The following is a 24,506-nucleotide window of genomic DNA, read 5'->3' on the forward strand; positions in this document are numbered from 1 at the left end:
ACTGATAAATGAATTCAGCAAAGTTTCAGGATACATAATCAATACACACAAATCAGAAGCTCTGCTATACACCAACAGTGACCAAGCTGAGAATCAAGAACTCAATCCCTTTTACAATAGCTGCAAAAAAAAAAAAAAAAAAAAACTAAAATTTTTAGGAATATATTAAATACCTAACCGAGGAGGTGAAAGACCTCTACAAGTAAAACTACAAAACACTGCTGAAAGAAATCATAGATGACACAAACAAACAGAAACACATCCCATGCTCATGGATGGGTAGAATCAATATTGTGAAAATGACCACACTGCCAAAAGCAATCTACAAAGTCAACGCAATGCCCATCAAAATACCACGATCATTCTTCACAGAACTAGAAAAAACATCCTAAAATTCATTTGGAACCAAAAAAGAGCCCGCATAGCAAAAGCAAGAAGAAGCAAAAAAAAACAAATCTGGAGGCATCACATTACCTGACTTTATACTACAAGGCCACGGTCACCAAAACAGCATGATACTGGTATAAAAATAGGCACATAGACCAACGGAACAGAATAGAGAATCCAGAAATAAAGCCAAATACTTACAGCCAACTGATCTTCAACAAAACAAACAAAAACGTAAAGTAGGGAAAGGACACGCTATTCAACCAATGGTGCTGGGATAATTGGCAAGCCACATGTATAAGAATGAAACCGGATCCTCATCTCTCACCTTATACAAAAATCAACTCAAGATGGATCAAAGACTTAAATTTAAGACCTGAAACCATAACAATTTTAGAAGATAACTTTGGAAAAACCCTTCTAGACATTGGCTTAGGCAAAGATTTCATGACCAAGAACCCAAAAGCAAATGCAATAAAAACAAAATTAAATAGATGGGACTTAATTAAAAACTTCTGTACAGCAAAAGAAACAATCAGCAGAGTAAACAGACAACCCACAGAGTGGGAGAAAATCTTCACAATCTATACATCTGACAAAGGACTAATATCCGGAATCTACAAGGAACTCAAACAAATCAGCGGTAAAAAAAACAGACAATCCCATCAAAAAGTGGGCTAAGGACACGAATAGACAATTCTCAAAAGAAAATATACAAATCGGCAACAAACATATGAAAAAATGTTCAACATCACTAGAGATCAGGGAAAAGCAAATCAAAACCACAATGAAATATCACCTTACTCCTGCAAGAATGGCCATGCTCAAAAAATTAAAATATAATAGATGTTGGCGTGGATGTGGTAAAAAGGGAACGCTTCTACGCTGCTGCTGGGAATGTAAACTAGTACAACCACTATGGAAAACAGTGTGAAGATTCCTTAAAGAAATAAAAGTAGAACTATCATTTGATTCAGCAATCCCATTTTGGATATTTACCCAGAGGAAAAGAATTCATTATACAAAAAAGATACTTGCACACGCACGTTTATAGCGGCACAATTCGCAATTGCAAAAATATGGAACCAGCCCAAATGCCCATCAATCAACAATTGGGTAAAGAAATTGTGATATATATGTACCATGGAATACTGCCAAGCCATAAAAGGAACAAAATAGTGGCATTCACAGTAATCTGGACATAATTGGAGACCATTATTCTAAGTGAAGTGACTCAGGAATGGAAAACCAAACATTGTATGTTCTCACTCATAAGTGGGCGCTAAGCTATGAGGATGCAGAGGCATAAGAGTGATACAATGGAGTTTGGGGCCTTGGGGGAAAGGGTAGGAAGGGGGTAAGGGATAAAAGATTACACACTGGGTACAGTGTACACTACTCGGATGATGAGTGCACAAAAATCTCAGAAATTGCCACTAAAGAAGTTATTCATTAATCAAACACCACCTGTTCCCCAGAAACCTACTGAAATAAAAAAAAATAAATTTTAAAAAATGCTTAACATCTCGAATCACCAGGGAAATGCAAATCAAAATCACAATGAGATATCACCTTGTACCTGTTAGAGTGGACATTATCAAAAAGATGATAGATAAGTGTTGCTGCAGATGTGGATGAAAAGGAGCCCTTGTACATTTTGTAGGAATGTTAATTTGTGGAGCCATTTTGGAAACAGTATGGAGGTTCCTCCAAAAACTCAAAATAGAATTACTATATGATTCAGCATTACTACTACTGGGTATATATCTAAAGGAAGTGAAATTAATATGTAAATGAAATACCTGTACCCTCATGTTTATTGCCACACTATTTACAATAGCCAAGATATGAAACCAATTTAAGTGCCCAGCAACAGATGAATAATTTTTTTTTTTGAGACAGAGTCTTGCCCTGTCACCCCGACTGGAGTGCAATGGCGTGATCTCGGCTCACTACAACCTCTGCCTCCCGGGTTCAAGCGATTCTTCTGCCTCCGCCTACCAAGTAGCTGGGTTTACAGGTGCGCACCACCACACCTGGTTAATTTTTGTGTATCTTTAGTGGAGACAGGGTTTCACCATGTTGGTCAGGCTGGTCTCGAACTTCTGACCTTGTGATCCACCCGCCTTGGCCTCCCACAGTGCTGGGATTACAGGTGTGAGCCACTGCACCTGGCCAAATGAATGTTTTTAAGTTTTACACACACACACACACACACACACACACACACACACACAATGAAATACTACTCAGCCATAAAAAAGCAGAAAAATTTGCAACATGAGTGAATCTAGAGGACATTGTGTTAAGTGAAATAAGCCAGGCACAGAAAGACAAATATCATGTAGTCTCACTTATATTTGATATCTAAAAAAATCACAGAGTAGAATGGTAGTTACTGGAAGTTGAGCGGGGTGAAAAGGGTGGAGAGGGAAAGGGGACATGTTGGTGAGAGGGTATGAAGTTCCAGTTAGACAAGAGGAATAAGTTCTGGTGATGTTTTGCACAGCAGGGTGACTTTAGTTAGTAATAACGTATTGTATATTTCAAAAATTTCTAAAACAGTGGATTTTAAATGTTCTCACCACAAAAAAGTGATAAGTATGTGAGGTGATGGATATGCTAATTGGCCTAATTTGCTTACTCCACAATGTATAGATGCATTAAAGCATCACATTGTACCCCATAAATATATACAATAATTATTTTTCAATTAAAAATTAAGAAAAATAGTTTAAGCTCTCCCCTATTCCTGATTGAATCTAGAATCTGCACCATTTGGTGGAGGTCTGCTTCCTTTGCTTCACTTTTACTCTAGATGGCAGCAGCAGAACAAAATAGAGGAGAAAAATCTGTTCTCAATGAGATGATTCCCTGTCTACTATGTAAAAAAAAAAATCTCAATGTTATTTGAAACAAAATATACCACTTAAAAATTTTCTTTCATTATAGAAATACTTTAACAGTATTTCAATTATTAAAAATCAATGTACAGATGTCTTCATAATTGTTCAACTTGTCAGGACACTAATAAGATATTTACAGAAATTTTTTATGATAATATTTCTGTAAAGACTCACTCACTGCTTATATTAACAGATTTACACTTGGAGGCTAAGGTGTCATGTTTGAATATCAAATACACTTTTTAAATTGATGGAAACATAAGGGATAAATAATCGAAGGGATAACAGAAATTCTCTGGGTGAATATATTACAGAAATAAAACTTTAATATTTCTCTAATAACCATGTTTTTAAGATTATTTCAAATAAAAATATACACATGAAACTGGCTTTAAATATATTAAAATTATAGCTTGTAAGCATTTAAAAAGAAATAATTTTATTATAAAACAACATTTTCCACCATCACACTTTAAACTGTGAGGATTTATGATGCAAGAGAATTTGTAGATGAGATTGCAGAAACACTGGAAACATTATAAAAACAAAGAGACCTAGAGAGGAACCAAGAGATTAAAAGAAAGATGCAAGTTATCATAATTTTCAAAAAGGCACTTCCAGAAAATATAATTTATTTTGCTTGACATTATAGCCTCACAAAACTCTCGTCTAGATTAAACAGAATTCCCAAGAGCTTAGAAAATAGAATTGTCCAAGTTTTGTGCCTTATAGCTCTATATTCATGCCTCTATATTCATAGATTTATGTATTTATTAAGACAATTTTCCTGCAGAGGGCATCAAAATATCTTGGAGAAGGGTTATCTTTTTCCAAATTACACAAAGGTGCCATTTGGACTAATGGTGGCACTGTTATCATGAATCAGAATGGCTTTACTAAATTAAAGCCCTGCCAAACTAAAACTTCCCTTTTTGTGCTAGAATTATTGGCTTAATAAGAATTTATTAATCAGAGCCTTCAGATTATCATTGTCCAATCAGTTATTTAACCAGATAGATGGAGAGGCAGCATAGAATAGTGTCAAGGAGGCAGGCTTTGGGTGGAGATCTTAGTTGGATTTCTAGCTCTGCCATTTACTCATAGGCCCCGCTTATGTTTATGTGAATTGGAAAGCAGCTTGGCATTCTGTGATTGGAACATTAATTTTTTATTTTCTTTATCTAACCATTGCATTCAAGAAATTTAACCTGAGGGAAAAATCAGGAAGGTGGAAAAAGCTTTATGCACAAAGAAATTAATCACTGTGTGATTTATAATAGTGAACAAACTGAAAATGAGGTACAACAGGGAAATGGTTAAGTGAATTACAAAATACAGTAAGATTCAGTAATCAAATGAGCATTTATCAAAGGTTTACAACATGCCATGTATTCTGCCTGGCACTGGAGATTCAGCACTGAACAAGATAGATATGGAATCTGACTTTTCTATGATAATTTAACATCAACTTAAAGTAAGCAGGAGGCAAGCACTTATAACACCATACTATCCACTATACGGTTTATATATGGATATATGTATATGTGTGTATATGCAGAAAAAATACTAGAAGAAAATAAATCAATATGTTAATAATTGTTAGGTCTTTTGTTATAATAATTTTATATACTTTTCAATATTTTCTACAATGAGAATGTTACTGTTAAAATTTTTTTTTTAATTATACAAAATGGCATTATACCAAAGGTAGGCTACAAAAGAAAACAAAATTATCGAATAATGTACTTAAAAGTCAAGATCACTTCATGGTACAGGAAATCCCTTCAGATATAAAGACATATTACATTGTCTTTTCTTGTATTTTGATTTCCATCACAGTGTCCTTTGGAAAGCTCACTTCCTCTCTAGCATTCGGAAGGCCTGTCTGTTCTTATGCGGGGAAGGAATGTGAATGCTAGCAGCACATTCCACCCTGGTGACACAAGGGGGTGCACAGGACTTGCTTCCAAATGTTTCCCTTTGTCTTCTTGGAAAGAAGAGGGAAAAAAAAACCTGACATTTGATTTGGTGACCAACTAAAATGTTTTAACAGGCTTATGTATACAGTTCACAGCGCGTTTCTAACGCGAGAGATCTCTGAGGGCATGATCCTGTGTACAAACCACTCCTACTTCCCCACATTTATTTCACAAGAAAAAATATTGCAGGAGAATGAGTGGCCTTTTAAAGCACAATTAGTGAAACAGGAGACTGCCTGAATGGCCCAGAATAGGGATTGTTAAAGAAATGATGGCACATAATAAACAAATTAGAAAATAACCATTAAAAATAATGTTGACATGGAAAGGACATTAAAAAGCAATTCATACAATAATACATACAATATGGTCTAATTTTTTTATTTAAATGTATTACATGAATAAGTAGAAAAATCTGGAAAGAGATATACCAAACTATTAACAGTCATTATCCTTGAAAGCTGGATGACAGGTTTATTACCTTCTTCCTATATATCTACATTTTACAATTTTTGTGTACAATGAATAAAAATTTGATTTTAAAATAAGAAAAATAAATGAGTATTCCCAAATAAGTACCAGTTCTTATGATCCTTATTAATTAAATATATGTAAATTGCTACAAATCACCCAGAGATATGGTGACAATATAGCCCTGTTTGCCAAAGACAATTTCACTTTGTAACTGTTGTTCTCATACAACTGTGAATAATGCCACTTTCACTCCAAAATTCTGAATAAGTCACCCTACATGTATATTTTTAAATTTGTACCCCTAGCAAGTTGTGCCACTTTTGTCCTTATATCAGCAGGTTGCTTCCAATCCAAAAGATCTCAATCCTTCTCTCTCCTAATATGCTAAGATGCAAGGCTAGTCCAGAAATCCTGAGATTCTCATGGCTGCACCAGGGTTAGCATGGGCCAGGGTATACCCCAAGACCCATCCAAATCACAGTCAAGACAGAATATTTTTGAGGCCCATCTTGACCCCTTGGCTGAAGTGCCTTTAAGGCACCCTACTAGCAGGACATCTTCTGACATGTTTTTTGAGACAGAACCCTGGCACTACTATGAGAGAGAATATTTTCCAAAGCACTGCTATACATGTAAAATCAATGATCCTACTGTCTTGGTTAAAATTCCTTGAATTAGAAGTAACAAACATGCTCAAATAACAAGTAAAAATGAAAAATTTGCAATTAATCTAAGAGTATCTCCCAACGTTTAGTACCTGGAGTCCGGCCAGGCTCTGGGTCTTAATTTCTAAGAGATACAATCTAATTGATTCAGTACAATGAATGGATTGGTTCCTCCTGGATTAGGTGTCCACCCTAACTCAATCAATTATGGCCAGGGAGTGGTGGAATAACAGTACTGAAATGGACTGCCCATGTGAATTAGGAAACGAGAATGTAGTCTGGGTAGATAGCCTCATGAAAATCTGCTTGCTAGCTTTCCCTCCTTCACGGAGAACTAGACAAGCTTCTCCTCTTCAATGACATACTCTGACTACATAGGCAGAAAAGAAGGAGCTTTTACCTGTACATCAGAAGTATTGTGATGATACCTCCAATGATACCCTTGACCATAGTTTTCAGCACAGCTGCCTCATAATTTCTTAATTCTATTGCCAACTTCCACAAGAACTGGGACCATAGTCCTTATCCACTTTCTCCATACTTTACATTCTATGATAAGGAGTCATGAGGAAGTTTCGGGTCACCCATCTGAACAGCAAAAACTTTATTCTTTTGCTTTTTCATCCATTCAGTCATGTAACAAACATTTATTGCATTTCTATCAATTGTCAGGACCTGTACTTAGTGCTGTGGGCAGAGATAAGACATGGTCCTTATTCACAGGCATTCACAATGTAGTGAGAGTCAAAGAGATAAAAGAATAATTATGTTACAATGTGATATGACATACAACAGAAGTATATATAGAGTGTGCTGAGTGCAGAGAAAAAGGATCTAAACCATCCCTTTGAGAAATTCAGAAAGGCATTAAAAAGGTGATTATATTCTATTTAGATGCTGAAAAAAATACTTTTCTTGATGGAGATGAAGTCTCCCAGCTAAAATACAACAATAATAAATAGCTACCATATCCTTAATATTTACTGCATATAGAGACACTCTGACATATGCTGTACATGGATTATCTCGTTTAAACTTTACAGCCCAACTGGTCTGCTTGTCACACCATTGCCCGTATGTATCTCAGGACCAGCCAACCATTTAGAACAGAACTACGAGCACATAGGGATTTTAATAAATGCCAACAAATTAACTGAAAATATTCTATGTTAATATGTATGAAAACAAGAGCTTTTATCTACTGCTGATGGAAATATAACTTCCTCAAGGACAATTTGTCAATGTGCATCAAAACTTACTCCTGGAAATTTGCCTTAAGGAGATAATTGAGAATTTAGGCAAGGTTATAACTACAAGTATGTTCATCACAGTATTTTTCCTTTTTAATTTTTTCTTTTTTTCCGTATCTCCTCAAGTTCCCTTTACCACATCACAGTATTTTTTATAACAATCTAAATTGAAGTTGTCCAACAATATCACAAAAATATGGTATAGAAGCATATTTGTTTGGTATAAAGATGTCCATAACAAGTTAATATTCAATATATAAACAGAATATATAAAATTGTCTCTATTTTACTTTATAACTGTATATATACAAATATGTGTATATAAATTTAAAATGTACACATATATTTTAAATGTGTAACTGTCTTTATAGACATGTATTTTATTGCATATATGTTTAGTTTATATATGTATATATATATTTATGTGAAGCACTGGAAAGAGATACACTAATCAGTAATTTTTCTGGCCAAAAATTTGGGGATTGGATAATCTTTCTTTTGGTTTATCTCTATTTTCAAATTTTTCTACAATAAGATCATATTACTTAAGCAAATAAAAAATGAGATCTTACGATGCCATTTATTGACAGGAATTCATAATTTAATCATTTGTTTACATTTGCCAAGCCAAGAAACAAGATCTTAAGGTATGAGCTACACTCAAGATAAAATTACTTGGTATTTATATAGGAGTGGCATCTCTGAAAATTGTAAGGTTTTGCATCTTTGAACAATATTTTCATAGAGATTACTCATATATCCAAATTATATCCTTTTCCAATAAAGGTGAAGAATCTAAAAAGGAAGAAGCTCCCAATCTGCCACTTATCAGTAATTTGAGCTTTGGTGAGTCACTTAACCTCTCTGAGCTTCAGGGTGATTATCTATAAAAAAGGAACAAAAGCCTATCTTAGCAGTTCTTGTAAGGATTGAACGAAGGTACCTGTGCATGCTTTATAAACTTTATACTAGGGGTCAGTGCAATTTTAACTAAGATTAGATATTAGGTCTTAAGTTCTCCTTTTGGGGATCTTCTAATTTTTAAGAATGTCCAACAGCTTTATAGATGACAAAGTCATTCTTTATTATTTTGTCACACTCAATCCAGGAGACACTGCCAACCCAGGAAAACTGCATTGTTTCTATTAATGGGTTTGGCCACTGCTCTTACAGCTTTGGCAATCTACCATAAAGAAAGAATTTCATGTTGCTACTTGAAACCTTTTGTGAAATTGATTCGAGCTTCTTAGTGCATTTAATTGTCCCTATAATAGTCCTAAGCCCAACATAATAGCCGATGAAAATGCTCATGCTAATTTTAACTCCTCAGTTTTTCTGTAGCCATTTGCCCAAAGATCCAAAACTAAAGTCACTTTTTCCCTGGTATAGTCAAAAAGCCAGTTATTTCAGTCATTGGAATTCTTTTCTCAGTCTAGCTCCTCATGTCCTCCCTAATCTGGAGAAACCACTTTTAAACATGCTGACCAAGGGACCTGATTTCACCTCATTTCACCTGTTGAGTTCTAGCTCTGTTTTTTTTTATGGCTTAAGACACCTGTTTCCTGTACATTATTGAAAAACCACAATGTAATACGACATTAGAGTCTTTAGTCATTGAAAACCTCTTCTTTAGAATAACTTTTTTTTCTACTTTTCACAAGCATAGTCCTTCCCTTAGGTCAGCTTTTGATAAATACTCATAAAATCACATTGCAATGCTGGTAAGCATATTCACTTGGACAAACCAAGAAGATTCTAATTTTGGAATCTTAAAATCTTCTGGCATCTCTAAACTTGAAAGATGACCTGGGTAGTGAGCCTATAATTATGTGTTCTAATCTTCTTTGGGTCTATGACACCATTATGAACACACTAGGACACATCTGAGGGGTGTTTCCCTTCCCCACCCTGCCCATGATCCACCAGTTCAGCCAACTGTTTTGGTGTACTGTTATTCTCTACCCTTCATGCTTACCAGGGTGGATAATGGATTAGCAACTGCAAAAGGAAGCTGAACTGAAAGTATTCTTCTTTGTCTATTAAACTATACTTCAACAGTCACAGCTTTCAGTACCTTTTATTGTAATTGCTCAATTAATTATAATTTACTATATTTGCTTCCCCTTTAGATCCTAAGTTCTGCTGCTATCTCCCCATTATCTAACATAGGGCCTGCTACAAATTAGGTACTGAATAGTAACCTATTAAATGAGTGAATCGTCTCTCTCAATCCTGGTTTCCATTTTTATTAACAGAATTAGAGCCAGGCAAGTTGGTAAATGCCTATAATCCCAACACCTGGGAGGCTGAGGTGGGAGGATCCCTTGAGCCCAGGAGTTTGAGGCTACAGTGAGCCATGATTGCACCACTGCATTCCAGCCTGGGTGACAGAGCGAGACCCTAACTCTTTATAAAAATATTAATCAGCCAAGGGGGCTTGTCAAGGGGGTGGCTATGTGAATAAATTGCAAAAAATACAGTCTACCAGTTAGTCAAAATTTGTCCTCTGGAATGTGAATCAGTCCCCAGTATCATCTATGTGTTTTTACAATGATAAGTGAAGATACTGAAGTAAAATATTAAAATAAGTTATGTTGGATCAATGGCAAGGCATTTTTCAAACTTTTCATTATTTTAAAATAAAGAGCCTCAAGCAAACGCTCCTTCCTCCTCATAAGAGCTAAGCAACCCAGAGTTATATTGTCAACGTTTCCAAAATATGTAAGTGGGACAATCAAATCCATTTCTATTTGAATGAAGAGCCCAAGTTCTTATCTACTAAACTCTACCATTTACCAGCTAAAATTTAGAATTTCCGAGTTTGTTTCGCTTAATTCTATTACATTCAGAAAACATACTTTGTATGATTTTCATTGTTTAAATTTGCTGAGTTTTGTTTTATGATACTTAATATTGCCTACCTTGGTTAATGCTCTTGGTCAACCTGAAGAAAATGTGTATTCTGCTGTTGTTGGGTAGAGTCTGTGAATGTCAAATAAATTCATTTGGTTAATGGTGTTTTTTAGTCCATCTTTGCTAATTTTCTCTCTACTTGCCTTGTCAATTACTGAGTTGACAGAACAAGAAAAATTGAGCTGAAGTTTCCAACTATAATTTTCATTTGTCCAGTTTTATCAGTATTTGCTAGAGCTCTGTTGTAAGTCACATACATATTTAGCATTGTTATCTACTACTTAATAAATCTTTCCTAAATCTACTTAGTAAATTAACCATTTTATAATTATGTAGTGTCCTTCTTTATCCCTAGTAATTTTCCTCTCTCCGAAGTCTTTGTCTTATATTAATGTAGCTACTCAGCTTTCTGTCAAATAGTGTCTGCATTGTATATTCTTTTCCATTCTTTCATTTTTCACCTATGATATTGTTATATTTAGAGTGGGTTTCTCATAGACAGCATATTATGGTTTTCCTCATTCTGACAATCTCTGTTTTTTAACTGGTATATTTAGATAATTTACACTTACTATCATCACAGATACATATTTGGATTTAGGGCTACCATTTTGGTATTTAAGAGTAAATTGATTCTGAATAAGGGCCCCTTTAAGATTGAATGAGTTTTAATAAAAAGGAACTAGGGCCATATCTTTCGTTGTATAATAACCTTTTTTATTCTTTAGAGCAGTATCCAGTTGTGTTAAAATAATTAAAATTTCCAAACTTTCTATAATAAAAGTTACCTTTATAATTGAAAATGAGAAATATTATTTTAATGATAAAATAGCTGTATAAATTATTAAGAGAGTTCTCCTAAATCTGTGACTCTGGTTTAAATGTGACTGCTAAAGTCACAGGCACATAGCTCAACCATTTCCACATATACACCTGCCCTTCCTTAGCTTGGAACACCACATGGATAAGTTCCAGGCAAAGCAAAGGAATCAAAGGAACTTTCTAACTTTGGGAAATTCCATGTTCTCTTTGTTCCTACATTATTGTAGCTCTTCACGGTGGGGAATAAAAGGTCAGGACTTTAGCTTTCAAGAAACCAAGTTGGACAAATCACTATACATACAGTCCTGAACTCATATGCATGACGGAGTGAGTCCCCAGTCAATTCCTTCAGGCATTGAGTCTGGCATGAGCACAAAAAACATTTTCATAAAATTCATGTTTTACTGTTTCCTGTTCCCTATCCATGGTTGAAGTTCAGTGGGTCAAGGATAGGTAAACTGTTAATGATTTCATCTTGCAGAAACAGAGCAATAAAAGCACACATTTGGAGAGAAAAAAAGCAATATAATAAAAAAAATCTCCTCCCTTTAAAAAAGTAATCAGGTTTAATTAAAAGGAAACAAACATTTGACTTGAGAGTGGCTATTTTTTTCTAACACTTTATTGTAAGACTCTATGTTAACAAAAAAGCTAAAAGATATAGAATATTTATCACTTAAGGCAATAAATAAAAATATTCAGTCAACTCTGTTGCTGCCACAGGAGTAATACTGTTATCTCAGAAGATCCTAAGTAATATTAACCGAGATAACATATGTGAAAAATTACTACACTATAGAGGGAAAAAGCAGACTAGTGTTTGCCAGGGGCTGGAGGTGGGGGAAGGAGTTGACTTTAAGGGCCCAGGGAAATTTTTCTGGAGTGATGGAATTGTTCCATGATTTAGTTGTGGTGCATTTATGTACATTTGTCAAAACTTGCAGAGTGAATATTACTGTTCATAAATTATACCTTAATAAAAAATATTTTAAATGCCTCACACACAGAAGGTAGTCAAGAGAAATTCAAAAATTAGTTTTCACTTTAGATGATGTGTTATATTCTCAAAAATGGAATGAATGTGAGAACCAGTGCATACAGTTGAGTGTGTGTCTAAATTTATGCTCCTATTTGAAAGCTGACATGCTGTCTCACAAGTGTTTAGATGCTTATAAGCCTTATTTCTGTCATTGTCCACAAATAAGATACAGAAATAGGGTTTTTAAAGGGTTGTGGCTAGGTAGGCCACCTGCCAGTTCTGTCCAAACTGTCCAAACGTACCAGGACTGTCTCTGGTCTCTGATTTGGGGGTGGAAAAAGAAATTTTCAAGTAAAATGACACAGCATGAATGTAATTAACAGAAATGTTAAAATTGAGAGCTGCAAAAATAAAGTAAAATAAGCTAAAGAGTCATGCTAACACTCTGGGTCACAGTCACACTTGCCAGTGGCATTTGAATAAATGAAGCGTGAGATTTACCCACAGTTCTTGCAGACTTTGAATGTCATGATTCCATAGGTATGTGACTGTGTTAGGATTAGAATGTGAGGTGTGTGGCAGCCACTGAAGTGGACAATAGTGAAATGGGGTCACACCCTTTAGGAGCATTTTGCAAGCTAAAATCTTTGGAATGATGGAGGGTTATTCACTGCTGATAATGGCAAAAAGTTAATATTTCTCGCATTTTTGAAGTGTCAAGAATTTGGCTAAGTGTTTTATATTTATTACTCAGAATAGTCTATTGCTGTATTATTGCCTCCATTTTACAGATGGGAAAGTTGAGGCAAAGAGATTGAGTTACTAGCCCAAAGTCACAAAGCTAGTAAGTGTGGTAGAGCTGAAATTTGAATCCATCTAAATTTCCTTCTTCTAACCACTATCCTACAATAATCATTTGCTCAGTGGAAATGCTTTTGATCATATCTTCTGGTAGTTATATAATATTTATTGAAAAAAATATTTCATTTTATAAATTGCACATTGTAAAAAGACCTTGTGAAGGAGGACAGATGAATTGAAAATTCAAGGTATTTTAGATTTTTAAATAAGTACCCAAGAGCTTATATCTGTAGTCTAAGGCTTAAATGCAGCTGAGGGAGGGAGAGAGAGAGAGAGAGAGAAAAAAAAGCAAAACATTATGGAGGAGATGGGCAGCAAGGACTGTGCTTCCAGAATTAATGCAGGGCACTCTGACCTTGCTGTGAAACTGACCAGACAGGGTAGAAACCAAGGGCTGGAAAGGCTCTGCCTTGTAAAAATGAGATGGAACAAGCCAGGGCCTTGATAGATAGCTGAGCAAATATTGAGGTCAAGAACCCTATATGAGTCTTATTCTAAGTTCAATCCAACTCCTGGAAATCGAATTATCTATTTCTTAAGATTTACAGTGATCCTACACTTCTTGGGGCCAATTCATGGAGTGATAAGGTGTTGTAAGCATCCAGGACACACAGCCTTTATTATTCTATGGTTCAACTCTGATGAAAGAAAAGTTCTGAAGAATCCGGGCTACTTTCCTTTGTTCAAGAAAAATTAGGGTTTATTTCAGAAACTCTACTTTTTCTGTTTAAAGAGATTATGTTAAATGAATATACCAGGCATCATTCAATAAAATTGTTTTTGCTTTTCTGGAAGGTAGATCTAGAGTCTACAATTATTTTATTCCCTTTTTGAAAATACACAGGACTTATTATTTGTACCATACTCTTCAGCTCTTGAATATATGCAGCTTGAACATCTCACTTATACTATTCTTTAATTGCCCCGTCTTTGTTGGTCTGGCTTTCTTAAGCTTTTTATAAGAGGGAAGATTCATATACTTCTTCTGCAATAAAATGTATGAATAGTCACATTAATTGAAATAGACTATAATCAGTTCAAGTCCAATTTTTCTACAAATTATTTACAAAAAACTTTTGTTTCTAAGATATTTTTGGATGTAGAAATTACAAATACAATGTACCAGTTTGTGGACCTGTAATACTATGCCAGAAAGGAGCTTTATTTGTTTATACTGCATATGTTATATTTTTAAATAAACAAATTAATAATCTTAAACATACAAAAATATACACATGCATATACTTGTACAAACTACAATTAGTATTAAAGTAACTTTCTTACCTAAAGCTTTCAAAAGAGTATATGCATTGACAATATTGAGTCGGAAATTTGAGAATGGTGATGCTATTAGCAAGATAATAATCTATTACATTTATATATTACTTTATGTTTTGTCAAGTGCTATTACATTTACTATCACTTCAATCTTCATACGAATTCTGTGAAGCAAACAAAGCAATAATTATTACTTTTTTAAAAAATCATGTCCATTTTTATCTAGTTCCCAAAGTAAGATAAATTTCTTCAAATGTATTATGGAAAATAACAGGAGAGAAAGTTGAGAGATTTTCCCTATGGTTTTACTGAAGAAGAAATTTGAGGTCAGAGAGATTCCATGGCTGACTCTGGGTCAATCAGCTAGAAAGTGGCACAGCTAGAATTGGAGACTAGTCTGACCCCAAGACTTGTGGATTATTCTCTCAACAAATCTAGTGAGCACCAACTTGGTGTCAGGCTCTCTGGTAAGCACATCTGCTATGCCACAATGTCTTCAGCCAAGAAACAGAAGAAAAGACACAGAATTTTACAACTTAAACCAACCATGGGAATCTAGGTCTGAAGAAAGTACTAGGACTACACTGTTAGCAGAATGACTTCTTTTCATTTTAAGGGGAATATTTAATTTGCTAAATAAAGCAGAATCTTTCTTCCCAAAACTTTGTTTCAAGTATTTGATGGGTCTCTTGAACCCAACAATCATAGTAGTGCTGGTTGGGGGCCTGTTCACTAGCGTGGAGCAAAGCTACCTTATACCAGCCACTCCCATAAATGGCCACACTTGCTTTGTAAGATATGAAACTTAACATGTGCAGCTCTGAGAATCTACTGATGGTTGGACTGAAGTGGTAAACATAGGCCAGTTTGGTGAACTATTAAACTATTTCCCAAAACTTAATCTTTCCCCTGATACTGTGGTGAAATGGTTATCATTAAACTATTCCTGATGGGTTTTAGAAAACGAATTTATCGTGAATTAGAATTGACCTAAAGCCATTTAATCCAATTGTCAACTTTATAATGAAGGGCTTCAAATTTAGATTTTTGATGTTATCTCCAACTGAGGTCATACATACAGTCTGTATTTATTTCCTGGCACTGCTGTCACAAAGTACCACCGACTACATGGCTTAAGCCATACAAATTTATCATTTCACAGTTTGGGAGGTTAGAAGTCTAAAATTGAAGTGTCAGCAACGTTGCTTCACATTCTGAGATATTGAGGCTTAGGACTTCAACATATCTCTCTGGGTATATGAAGGCTAATGTTGTGTATATCTTGAAGGGTGTTTTGGATGAGATTAACATCTAAATCAGTAAATTTTGTGTAAATCATGTTGCGCTCCATTATGAGGGTTGGCCTCACCAAATTAGTTGAAGGTCTGAATAGAACAGTAAGACTAGCCTTCCCTAGCAAAAGGGAATTCATCAGCAAACTGTCTTCACACTTCATCTGCACCATCAGCTCTCCTGGGTCTCCAGCCTGCTGGCCCCACACTGCAAATTTGTACTTGCCAGTCTCCATAACTGCATGAGCCAATTCCTAATAATAAATTTCTCTTAGGCCTGGTGCAATGGCGCACACCTGTAATCCCAGCAGTTTGGGAGGCTGAGGTGGGTGGATCACTTGAAGTCAGGAATTTGAGACCAGCCTGACTAACATGGTGAAACCCAGTCTCTACTAAATACAAAAAATTAGCTGGGCATGTAATCCCAGCTACTTGGGAGACTGAGGCAGGAGAATCGCTTGAACTGGGAGGCAGAGGTTGCAGTGAGCTGAGATTGCACCATTGCACTCCAGCCTGGGCAACAAGAGCGAAAATCCATCTCTAAATAAATAAAGAAATAAAGTTCTCTCTCTCTCTTCTCTCTTCTCTCTCTCTCTCTCTCTCTCTCTCTCTCTCTCTCTCTCTCTCTCCCCCCACCCCCATTGGTTCCATTTCTCTGGAGAACCCTAATACAGGGGTGGGAGAGACCCAGGAGACACAAAATTCAACATCACCTGTTGTGTATTATGAATTAAAATCTTTTTGCAAATCCTGTAATCATCTTGTGAATGTTACCATTATATTGCATTATACTTTCTAGTGTTTCAAATATCAGATAGATGTATTTGAAATATACCATAAATGTTACAGACCTGCTTTGGAATTTATTTCTATTTTAATATGTCAGAAGCCTCAAAAATTGGAAATAGCTTAAGTCTTTCTCAACTTCTCAGAGACTCTACTTAGCTGTTACTTCTCTACTTACCTCTGCCATTTGCCTCCAACTACCAGGAAATTCTTGCTAATTTTTGTCTAATGGCCTTTGCATACATTCTTCTTCTTCTTTTTTTTTTAATAGAGACAGGGTCTTGCTATGTTGGCCAGGGTAGTCTTGAACTCCTGGCCTCAAGCAATCCTCCCACCTCGGCCTCCCAAAGTGCTGGGATTACAGGCATTAGCCACCACACCCAGCCTGTACACATTCTTCTTCTACTTTCTTTCTCCGGTTATTTTCATCACCTGCTCTAAGATAGCTTCTCAAACTCCAACCTTACTTAATCACTATCTAATTAATTACATATTTAATTTGTGCTAATATAAGGAAAAAATCTTTTCTTCTTTCATTTTCATATGATAATTCCAGCCTTCTTCATAACTATGTGTGGTTTTGTGATAAAGTTGTCTCCAATATCTTATAGGTACGACTAAGCAATTTGGTTTCTAAAGTGTAGTGGGAAGCCACTGAAGTATCAGGAGAAGGTGAATTATACAATTCCATTTTTCTTGGAAAGATTCCTCTGGCTGATTTGTAGAGAATTAATTAGAGAAGGCAAAATGTATGCAGGAAGACAAGATAAGAAGCTCAAAAATTAATCCAGATGAAGAGATTGCAGTTTTATCTGGTACAGTTGCAATGAACACTGAGAAAGAAAAACATACTTGGTAATTGGTTAGATATGAAGAATAAGGAAGGAAGGAACTGTCAGTAATGACTAACAGATACAAAAAGATGGCCAACCTCACCCATAATAAGATAAATGCAAATGAGATCTACACTGAGATACATTTCTCAGCTTTATTTTTGAAAAAAAAAAATCCAAAATCTTGACAACATTCTCTGTTGATGAGACTTGGGGAAACAAACACTCTCATTTAATGCTGGTGGAAATACCAAATGGTATAGCCTCTTTCAAAGACAACTGAGCAACAGAAACATTTATCCTTTGACTCAATAACCCCACTTCTAAAAATCTGTTCCAAAATTACACTAGCAAATATACAAAACTGACACATGTACAATGCTATTCACCACAGAAAAATTTGTAATAGCAACCAGTGAATATATTGGAACTTGCTTGTATCCACTTGCAAAAATTGATTGTTACATTTCCAAGAATTTTGCAAGCTAGTTTTTAAACACAGCCACTGTTGAAATTATATTATATAGACTTACAATTAAATAAATTATGTTAAAAACAAAGGTAAGCCAGGCATAGTGGCTCATGACTGTAATCTCAGCATTTGGGGAGGCCTTGATGGGAGGGTCACTTGGGCCCAGGAGTTCAAGACTAGCTCAGGTAACATAGTGAGACTTTGTCTCTACAAAAAAATAAACAAAATTGGCCAGGCATGGTGACACACACCTGTGGTCCCAGCTACTTGGGGGGCTGAGGTGGGAGGATCATTTGGGCTGGGGAAGTTTAGGCTGCAGCAAGCCATGATTATATCACTACCATCCAGCCTAGGGAACAGAGCATGACCCTGTCTCAAAATTTAAAAAACAAAAAACAAAAACAAAAAAAACTATGCTGTTGAGATTATTTACATGTACTGTATCCAAATGTTGGGAATACTATATATTGAAGTGCTATTGTACATCACTTCCCCACTTCACATTCAGTGACATTATGTTAGTAGCTTAAAATCAGCCATGGTAGGAGTATTGACACTACAAAAATTTGCAAACTCCAAATCAGGACTTTTTTCCCTATAGAGATCTAGTTGTTAAATATTTACCAGCACACAACTGGAAACAATGCAAATATCCACCAAAGGGTTCTGGTTGATTAAACCATGATATACCCACTCAATTGAGAAATATGTAACTATAAAGGGAAACAGAGCTATTTTTATATACTTTATATAAAACTGATCTCTAGGAAAGTGAAAAAAGTAAGCTGAAGAAAAGTGTGTATGTTACCATTTATTGGTAGAAAGGAGAGATATAAAGGAAGAATATGAAAGAAGGGAGGATACAAAGACATATGTTTTCATATTTTTTTAATGTAAGGCTAAAGCAAAAAGGTTTTTAAATGGCTACCTACAGGGAGAGGAAAGAAACTATAAGGAAGACAGGAATAAATGATGAACTTTTTGCAATAGATCTTGTTTGGTACATTTCTTTAAGTCCCATAACCATTTTACTTAATTAAAATTTAAATTAAAGTTAAATTTTTTCAATCCCTAAAAATCTAAGCAAAATGAAACCAATCTAAGCAATGAGTGGATGGCATAATTATATATAGAAGAAGTATTTCAAACAAACTGAAAACACAATAATTTCATTTGTCTATTTGGATATACCCTGAAGCTCAAAATAAATAAATAAAATGTTTTTTAAAAAAAGATCTTGAGTAATTTTCAGCAATCATATTGTTAGTGACAACATTGGTTATGATTTTCTGAAACTATTATAATACAATCTAGGATAAAGAAAAATAGATAAAGGATAAAGAAAATAAGTAATTATATTTACACATTTAGGAACCAACTTTTTTTACAATAGTAGAGAGAATATAAATTTAAAATCAAAGAAGTCAAGTAAAAGTATTATAATCTTAAATTTAAAATTAAAATATCATGATTTCTATACACCAACAACATCCAAGCTGAGAGCCAAATCAAGGAAGCAATCCCATTCACAATACCACAAAAAGAGTAAAATACCTAGGAGTACAGCTAAGAAGGAAGGTGAAAGATCTCAACAATGAGAATTATAAAACACTGCTGAAAGAAATCAGAGATGATACAAAGAAATGGAAAAACATTCCAGGCTCATGGGTAGGAAGAATCAATATTGTTAAAATGGCCATATCACCCAAAGCAATGTACAGACTCAATGCTATTCCTATCAAATTACCAATGACATATTTCACAGAATTAGAAAAAACTATTCTAAAATTCATATTAAATCAAAAAAGAGCCTAAATAGCCAAGGCAATCCTAAGCAAAAACATTAAAGCTGGAGGCATCATACTACTTGACTTCAAACTGTATGACAAGGCTACGGTAACTGAAACGGCATGATACAGGTACAAAAACAGATACACAGACCAATAGAAGAGGTTACAGAACCCAGAAATAAAGTCATACACTGCAACGAACTGATCTGCGACAAAGTTGACAATGGTGCTGGAATAACTGGCTAGCCATATGCAAAAGAATGAAACTTCCTTTTTTTTGTTTTTTTTTTTTGAGATGGAGTCTCACTCTGTCACTAAGGCTAGGCTAGAGTGCAGTGGCGCAATCTCGGCTCACTACAAGCTCCTCCTCCTGGGTTCACACCATTCTCCTGCCTTGCCTCCCGAGTAGCTGGGACTACAGGTGCCCACCACCACACCCAGCTAATTTTTTTGTTTTTGTTTTTGTATTTTTAGTAGAGACGGGGTTTCACCGTGTTAACCAGGATGGTCTCGATCTCCTGACCTCGTGATCTGCCTGCCTCAGCCTCCTAAAGTGCTGGGATTATGGGCGTGAGCCACCACGCCCTGCCTGAGCCACCGCGCCTGGCCTTCCTTTCACCATATATAAAAATCAACTGAAGATGGATTAAAGACTTAAATGTAAAACCTACAACTATAAAAACCCTAGAAGAAATGTAGGAAATAACATTCTGGACATTGACCCTAGCAAAGATTTCATGATGAAGACCCCAAAAGCAATTGCAACAAAAACAAAAATTGACAAATGGGACCTAAAGAACTTCTGCACAGCAAATAAAACTATCAACAAAGTAAACAGACAACTTATAGGAAGGAATATTTGCAAACTATGCCTCTGACAAAAGTCTACTATTCAGAATCTATAAGGAACTTAGACAAATCAACAAGCCAAGAACGACTGCATTCACCTCTGAGACCGCATCTGCCCCATAAGCACAGAGTCTTGCCCTCGCCGCTCTGCCACGGGTCCACACCCACTGCCAGCTCATCATGGATAATGATATCGCCACGCTCGTCATGGACAATGGCTCTCCCATGTGCAAGGCCAGCTTAGCAGGCGACGATGCCCCTCCATCGTGAGGCACCCATGGCACCAGGGCATGATCGTGGGCATGGGTCAGAAGAAGTCCTACGTGGACAATGAGGCCCAGGGCAAGAGAAGCATCCTGACCCTGAAATACCCTATCGAGCATGGCATTGTCACCAATGGAGAAGATCTGGCACCACACCTTCTTCAACGAGCTGCATGTGGCTCCTCAGGAGCACCCTGTGCTGCTGACTGGGGCCCCCCTAAACCCCAAAGCCAACCGTGGGATGACCCAGATCATGTTTGAGACCTTCTACACCCCAGCCATGTAGGTGGCCATTCAGGCTGTGCTTTCCCTGTAAGCCTCTGGCTGTACCACTGGCACCGTGATGGACTCTGGCAGGGTCACCCACACTGTGCCCATCTACAAGGGGCACGCCTTCCCTGGTGCCATCCTGCATCTGGACCCGGCTGACTACCGCATGAAGAGCCCCGGGAAGTGCAGCTACAGCTTCACCACCACCGCTGAAGAGAGCGTGAGACATCAAGGAGAAGCTGTGCTACCTCACCCTGGACTTCCAGCTCCTCCCTGGTCACTGTGGCCTCCAGCTCCTCCCTGGAGAAGAGCTACAAGCTGCCTGAAGCCCAAGTCGGCACCATCAGCAACAAGCTGGTCCTCTGCCTCAAGGCTCTTTTCCAGCCTTCTTTCCTGGGCATGAAATCCTGTGGCATCCACGAAACTACCTTCAACTCCATCATGAAGTGTGACATGGACATTTGCAAAGACCTCTACACCAATGCAGTACTGTCCAGTGGCACCACTGTGTACCCTGGCATCCCCCACAGGATGCAGAAGGAGATCACCACCCTGGCTCCCAGCACAATGCAGATAAAGATCATTGCTCCTCCTGAGCGCAGATACTCTGTGTGGGTCCAGTGGCTCCATCCTGGCCTGGCTGCCAGGCTTCCAGCAGATGTGGATCAGCAAGCAGCAGTACCACAAGTCCCACCCCTCCATTGTCCACCACAGATGCCTCTAGGAGGACTGTCGCTTAGTTTTCTTAGTTTCATTACACTCTTTCTTGACAAAAACCAAACTGGCACAGAAAACAAGATGACATTGGCATGCCTTAATTTGTTTTTGTTTTTTGTTTGTTTTCGTTTTTGTTTTCGGCTTGACTCAGGATTTAAAAATTGGACCATGACAGTGTCAGCAATGGGTTGGAGCCAGCATCGCTCAAAGTTCTACAGTGTGGCCGAGGACTTTGATTGTATATTGTTATTTTTTTAATAGTCATTCCAAATATCATGAGATGCTTTATTACAGGAAGTCCCTTGCCCTCCAAAAAGCCACCACACTTCTCTCTAGGGAGAATGGTCTAATCCTCTCCCAAGTCCAGGGAGGTGACAGCATTGCTTTCATGTATATTATGTAATGCATAATTTCTTAAATCTTTGCCCTAGTACTTTTTAAATTTTGTTTTATTTTGAATGATTGGCATTGTGACCCCCCTTTTCTGTCTCCCAACTTGAGCTGTATGAAGGCTCTTGGTCTCCCTGGGAGTTGGTGGAGGGTGGAGGCAGCCTGGGCTTCCCTGTACACTAACTTGAGACCAGTGCAATAAAAGTACACACCTTAAAAAAAAGACCCCATTAAAAAAATGGACAAAGGATATGAACAGACATTTCTCAAAAGAAGACATACACAATGTCAATAATAAGCATATAAAAAAAGTTCAACATCACTAATCACTAGAGAAATGAAAAAAAAAACCCAATAACATACCATCTCACATCAGTCAGAATGGCTATTATTAAGAAGTCAAAAACAACAGATGCTGGCAAAGTTGTGGAGAAAAGGGAACACATATACTGCTGATGGGAATGTGAACAAGTTCAACCACTGTGGAAAGCAGTTTGGAGATTTCTCAAAGAACATAAAACAGAATTACCATTTGTTCCAGCAATCCCATTACTGGATAGACACCCAAGGGAATGTAAATCATTCTATCAAAAGGCATGCACATGTATGTTTATCGAAGCAATAGTCACAATAGCAAAGACATAAAATCAACCTAGATGCCCATCAACAGTGAACTGGTGAGGAAATGTGGTACATATATACCATGGAACACTACACAGCTATAAAAAAAGAATGAAGTCATGTCCTTTACAGCAACATGGATGGAGCATGAGGCCATTATCCTAATTGAAGCAATGCAGAAACAGAAAATCCAAATATCACATGTTCTTACTTATAAGTGGGAGCTAACCACTGAATACATATGGACACAAAAAAGTAAACAATAAACACCAGGGCCTCCTTGAAGGCAGAGGGTGGGAGGGGGGTGAGAACTGAAAAACTACCTATTGAGCACTATACTTATTACCTGGATGATGAAATAATCTGTACACAAAACCCTGATGACATACAATTTATCCATATAACAAACCTCCATATGTACCCTCTTAACCTAAAATGAAAATTGGTAGGAAAAAAATTTAAATAACAATTAAACTAAATTAAAATATTATAAAATCAGATTTTCTCTTTTAAAAAATGTATGTAATCCAGCTGGGCGCAGTGGCTCAGCCTGTAATCCCAGCACTTTGGGAGGCTGAGGCAGGCGGATCATGAGGTCAGGAGATCGAGACCATCTTGGCTAACACGGTGAAACCCCGTCTCTACTAAAAATACAAAAAATTAGCCTGGCATGGCGGCGGCCACCTGTAGTCCCAGCTACTCTGGAGGCTGAGGCAGGAGAATGGCATGAACCCAGGAGGCAGAGTTTGCAGTGAGCCAAGATCATGCCACTGCACTCCAGCCTGGGCGACAGAGCGAGACTCTGTCTCAAAACAAACAAACAAACAAACAAACAAAAATTATGTATTCCTTAGCTATGTTCACTGAACAAGTGTAGAATCAAGGACCAATGAAGCAACAATGAACACTCCTAAAACCCAGACCACGGTCTCTAAATATCATTTCCCAATACTAAATACCTTAGAGAAATGGATGATTTCTCTACTAGAGCAGGAGAGGTCTATGATAATCTTGATATATCTTATAATATTGAAAAAATTAAGCTATTAAGTACAATTGAAATTTGTTAAAAGGACTCAGGAGCCAAACTGAAGAAGCCTCTTGTAATACCAACACTTTGGGAGGCCGAGGAGGGTGGATCACTTGAACCAGGAGTTCCAGACCAGGCTGGCCAACATGGTGAAACCCTGTCTCTACTTTAAAAATACAAAAAATTAGCCAGGTGTGGTGGTGTGTGCCTGTAGTCCCAGCTACTCAGAGGATTGAGGTGGGAGAATTGCTTGAACCTGGGAGGTAGAGGTTGCAGTGAGCCAAGATCACACCACTGCACTCCAGCCTGGGCAACAGAGCGAGACTCCATCCCAAAAAAAAAAAAAAAAGTTCATTGATCACTCATGGAAGATGATACAGAATGAACTAATCACACTGAAAGCTGATGAATAAAGGAAAAGAATATTTTGTCTTTCCTATATGAAAGGTACTGCTGGATAACCAAAAGTTGTAAGGGGAAGTTAATCTTTATAGAAGAATTTCAACCAATAAATGCAACACTGATTAAAAAATAGAATATTAATATTTTGTAACCACTAACGATATAATGGATCTATTCTAAACAATGACCATCAACAGTTGTTCACATCACAAAAAGGAGAGACAATCTGACTTTCTGTGCTTCCTGATGAAAGTACCCAACACTTTCCATAAACTAT

At 36.7% G+C, this 24,506-nt stretch overlaps 1 long non-coding RNA gene and 1 pseudogene across 1 annotated transcript in view, besides 1 other annotated feature; one reads left to right on the forward strand and one right to left on the reverse strand.

Moving 5' to 3' along the window:
- The window catches only part of LOC101928882 (uncharacterized), a 162,590-nt gene that overhangs the window by 92,239 nt on the left and 45,845 nt on the right, over positions 1-24,506 (reverse strand). The window contains exon 3 of the long non-coding RNA NR_109986.1: positions 10,583-10,643. This is a non-coding gene — a long non-coding RNA (uncharacterized LOC101928882). The remainder of the gene's footprint in view (positions 1-10,582; positions 10,644-24,506) is intronic.
- Positions 4,904-5,441: an enhancer, noted in NCBI's record as "OCT4-NANOG hESC enhancer chr3:180522519-180523056 (GRCh37/hg19 assembly coordinates)". NCBI's record gives its function as "activates a minimal SCP1, AML or CMV promoter by ChIP-STARR-seq in primed H9 embryonic stem cells {active_cell/tissue: H9 hESC(primed)}" and the evidence as "EXISTENCE:reporter gene assay evidence [ECO:0000049][PMID:30033119]".
- ACTBP16 (ACTB pseudogene 16) lies at positions 20,633-22,188 on the forward strand (annotated as a pseudogene).

Source organism: Homo sapiens, chromosome 3 (assembly GCF_000001405.40).
Source record: "Homo sapiens chromosome 3, GRCh38.p14 Primary Assembly".
Taxonomy (NCBI): Eukaryota; Metazoa; Chordata; class Mammalia; order Primates; family Hominidae; genus Homo; species Homo sapiens.